Source organism: Homo sapiens, chromosome 5 (genome assembly GCF_000001405.40).
Source record: "Homo sapiens chromosome 5, GRCh38.p14 Primary Assembly".
In the NCBI taxonomy this organism is placed as follows: Eukaryota; Metazoa; Chordata; class Mammalia; order Primates; family Hominidae; genus Homo; species Homo sapiens.
Window position 1 is genome coordinate 73,990,384 of NC_000005.10, and position 4,432 is coordinate 73,994,815.

A 4,432-nucleotide genomic window follows, 5' to 3' on the forward strand; every position below is an offset into this window, starting at 1 on the left:
AGCGTACATCCAACTGGGTTAGCAATGGTAAGCAAGCAAGGCAGCCAATATGTCCTTATCTCAAGGAACCCAGCAGTGGCAATAATTCACTACCTTAGGACCTTTCTTCTGACTTTTCCCAACCAAAGTCTTATCACAACCAAAGCATCAAATCACAGTCATGAGAGATTATTTCAATGCTGCCCACCTTGCATGACTGTGTACCCTGACAACAAAAAGACAATGATACTTCTGGAGAATGTGCTTGGGAAGGAAATCACTCCCTTCTCCCTGCTGACTCCCCTCTGTCTTCCCCAAGCTAAACTTCTGGTTTCAATACTGTGGTTCGTTCTCCTGAGAAAAGCTAATAGACCTTTTCAGGTATGCAGTAAATCTTCCAATAGTGTATTTTAAAGCCCTTAAAGGAAAGACATTTAACCCTTTCTCTGGGCTGCTGGAGTGTGTGTGTGTGTGTGTGTGTGTGTGTTTGTGTGTGTCAAAATTTTTCCTGATGCAAATATTTATGGACTTTTTAACCTTCATTCTCATCTTAGTTATGCCTTGCCCAAACTCTTTTAACTGCTTTAATCTTTCTCATAAATCACTCTATGCCTCTTCCTTTTTCACTGTAATCTATCAACCTCCTTCTTGTTTCTCAGGTGCCCAGAGTGGAAGTCACAATTGTCCAGATCTGCCCCCAGATTCTGTCTGGGTCTCACATAGTTTAGTCTGAATTAGATATAAATCTGAAAGCTTAAGGAACACAGGATTTTTTGCTACTACTTTAAACACATTCAAGTGCCCACTTAACTCAAAATGGACAACATTTCCATTGCAGTGGTCAAGCAGCAAAGAAAATACCCTCCAGGCTTTTCCAAACAGAAGCTTCACTAGGTTTTAACATCTGGGGAACTTGACTGCAGTGGGCTGGACTATGAGGGGATTTGTCCCTGTGGTGAGTGGGGGAGAGGGCAAATGACAAACGTACCACATTTTTCAGTTTGTCCCATGAGCTGCCCATTGGTGATTTAATCACACATTTCATGCAAGTTCACATCTCATTAACTGCATGTCAATAGCTTAAAATCTTTATGAGAGGGTACCATTTACCCCTTCCCTTTACCCCGCATCCTTTCTGCCTCCCATAGCTAAGCTTCTGGTTCAGTTCCCCTCAGAGGAGTTCCTAGGTCCTTTCGGAGTGCAAGCCATGCCTGTCCTAACTACCCCTCATCCCTTTACGGGTGGTATAAGCCATGACCTGGGGGTGTTTTTCTAAGCTGGGGATGAGGTCCTCAGACTCCGTCTGCGGCCCTGCTCAGTTCTGAGTAATATACCTTTCAGAGCAGTTCAAGATGGCGGAAGAGAGCGAGAGGAAGCAATGGGCTATCGCAGCCTTACTGCTAGCCTGACAAGAAGCCATTAGGGGACCTTCCAAAGTGGGAAGTGATTCTGAATGAAGTGACAAGAATGAATGAGCCACACCTGAGCCAATGTTTCTTAACAAAACACAGAGAGCTAAAATGATGTCTGGAATTTGAAAAAAGAATTGAGAAATAATATCTAGGAGAGGCTAATATTTTAGCAAGTACATTCTGAACTCTGAAATGGGTCACCTAGAGAAAGTTCTTTGATTCTCTGATATTGGAAGACAACATTTTGGGGGGTTTCAACTTCTTTCTCATGATAGATCATGTCAATGAAGTGACCTTGGAAAGCTATTTAATTATTTATATTTTAGTTAAAGCTAAGGCAAAGTTCTATAATGAGAAAAATGCAAACATTTGTTCTTATTATTTGAAGAGGAAGCATTTTTTTTTTAAACAACCAAGTGGTAATTTTACTAAGAAGGGCCATCTTTCTGGGCAGAAATTATGGAAGTAGGCATACCACGCAGGCTGGAGAGTGGAACACATCAGTATTATTGAAATGGGAGAGCTCCCTGACCCCCTCGCAAGACGTGAGACAGGGATGTGGCTCGTTTATTTGAGCTGTGCTCAAACCCCTTATGGGAGGGGGAGCACACAGATGGGCAGGTGCAGGAGCTGGGGTGAGTGTTTTGGGGCTCCAGCCCTACGGTAGTGTCTAGGGATGTGTTACAATTAATGCTCTTTTAGCAGTTGTTGTCCACAGATAGGTAAGTGTTAAACCAGCTCAGTGGAGAGTCAGGGTGACAGCTATTTACACCCTGCCCTCTTGGTACCCGGCTCCTTGTCTGGCATCCAGGAAGTATCAGGTCACTCGAACTTGAAGGATGGTGAATGCAGGGATTTTATTGAGTGATGGAGGTGGCTCTCAGCAGGATGGATAAGGAGCTGGAAAGAGGATGGTGTGGGAAGATGATCTTCCCCTGGAGTTTGGCCATCCCACAGTCGAACTCCTCTCAACGTTCAGACACCCTTTCTCTTCTTTTTCTCTGCCATGCCGCTCTGCGGCTCTTCTGATCTTCTGTTTGTGGAGCCTGGGGTTTGGGGTTGATATGGGTACAGGATAGGGGAGTATGAAAACAGGAATGCCTGTTCCCATTTAGGGCCAAGGGTTTCCAGGCTTGAGGGGAGTGGGGGCCTTTGCTGGGGAACTGCCCTCTTCTACCCAGTATTTCTCTGCCTCCTGTCTATATCATTGTTGGAGATGCCATAACTAAAAGGCTGGCAAAATTGAGATTTCAGAGGGACAAGAAATAGACAGGGTTTACAATATCGTTGAAGGATTGAGGTCTTATGGATAAATAGAGGGGAAAGTCTGCTGATCCCTTCCAATGTTCCATACCAGATTTCCTGGAGGAGCGATATATATTTATTTCTGAGTCCCATCTTTAGTCCTGCAATAATTTTTAGCATTTGTGTGAGGTTGATTTCAGGCAAGGGAAGACTTGGGCAAGTTATAGTACAGCATCTCTGAAAGTGTGTTTTGAGGAATGCAAATACTATAGAATATCATTAAATATAATAGAGTCTGTGGTCAAATGAACTTCAAAACATTGATTTAAACTGTGTTAAAAAGCTTTCCTTGCTGCATGTCTTCTCAGAGCCTTTGAAATGCTGAGGTTCATTGTAAATCTCCAGGTAGAAGTGGAGCTGGGAGGAGGAGCTTGAGTAAATAGAGTATAGTGCATGTATGATTCCAACATTTCTCTTACCATAAAACCTCCTTCTGCTCTTCTTCCCTGGAAAATCTTTTAGAAGTTGTGTTTCATGTAATACTCTGTTGTCTACATGGTCAAAGTGGAAAAAGCCCATGACTGGGTATTAGATTTTCAGGGCTCCAGTTCTGGTTGTTTAATTTTGGGCATTTATTTAACCTCTCTGGGCCTTGGGTTTCTCATCTGCAATATGCGAAAATTAGTCCTAATAGTTCCAGAATCCTGTGCTTCCTGTATGAGTGCTTCACCACTTTCTGCCGTATCAGGGAACCTGCCCCAATAATCATGTAGGTTCTTTTCTATTTTTCCTAAGTGTCAGCCAGCTTGAGAAATAAAGGGACAGAGTACAAAAGAGAGAAATTTTAAAGCTGGGCATCTGGGGGAGACATCACACATTGGTAGGATCTGTGATGCCCCACAAGCCACAAAACCCAGCAAGTTTTTATTAGGGATTTTTAAGAGGGGAGGGAGTGTGTGAATAGGTGTGGGTGACAGACATCAAGTACTTAACAGGGTAATAGAATATCACAAGGCAAGTGGAGGCAGGGCAAGATCACAGGACCACAGGACCACAGGACTGAGGCAAAATTAAAATTGCTAATGAAGTTTCGGGCACCATTGTCATTGATAACATCTTATCAGGAGACAGGGTTTTGAGATCAACTGGTCTGACCAAAATTTATTAGGCGGGAATTTCCTCTTCCTAATAAGCCTGGGAGTGCTATGGGAGACTGGAGTTTATTTCATCTCTGCAGCCTCGACCATAAGAGACGACCCACGCCCTCGGGGGGCCAGTTCAGAGACCCACCCCCAGGTGCACATTCTCTTTCTCAGGGATGTTCCATGCTGAGAAAAAGAATTCAGCGATATTTCTCCCATTTGGTTTTGAAAGAAGAGAAATATGGCTCTGTTCCGCCCGGCTCACCGGCAGTCAGAGTTTAAGGTTATCTCTCTTATTCCCTGAACAATTGCTGTTATCCTGTTCTTTTTTCAAGGTGCTCAGATTTCATATTGCTCAAACACACATGCTGTACAATTTGTGCAGTTAATGCAATTATCACATGGTCCTGAGGCAACATACACCCTCCTTGGCTGACAGGATTAAGAGATTAAAGACAGGCATAAGAAATCACAAGGGTATTGACTGGGGAAGTGATAACTGTCCATGAAATCTTCAAAACTTATGTTTAGAGATTGTAGTAAAGACAGGCATAAGAAATTATAAAAGTATTAATTTAGGGAACTAATAAGTGTCCATAAAATCTTCACAATCCACATTCTTCTGCCATGGCTTCAGCTGGTCCCTCCGTTTGG

The 4,432-nt window shown here is 43.2% G+C and overlaps 1 annotated feature.

Moving 5' to 3' along the window:
- Positions 1-295: a silencer, noted in NCBI's record as "tiled region #15608; HepG2 Repressive non-DNase unmatched - State 23:Low, and K562 Repressive non-DNase unmatched - State 24:Quies". NCBI's record gives its function as "represses a minimal TATA promoter and a strong SV40 promoter by Sharpr-MPRA in HepG2 and K562 cells {active_cell/tissue: HepG2 | K562}" and the evidence as "EXISTENCE:reporter gene assay evidence [ECO:0000049][PMID:27701403]".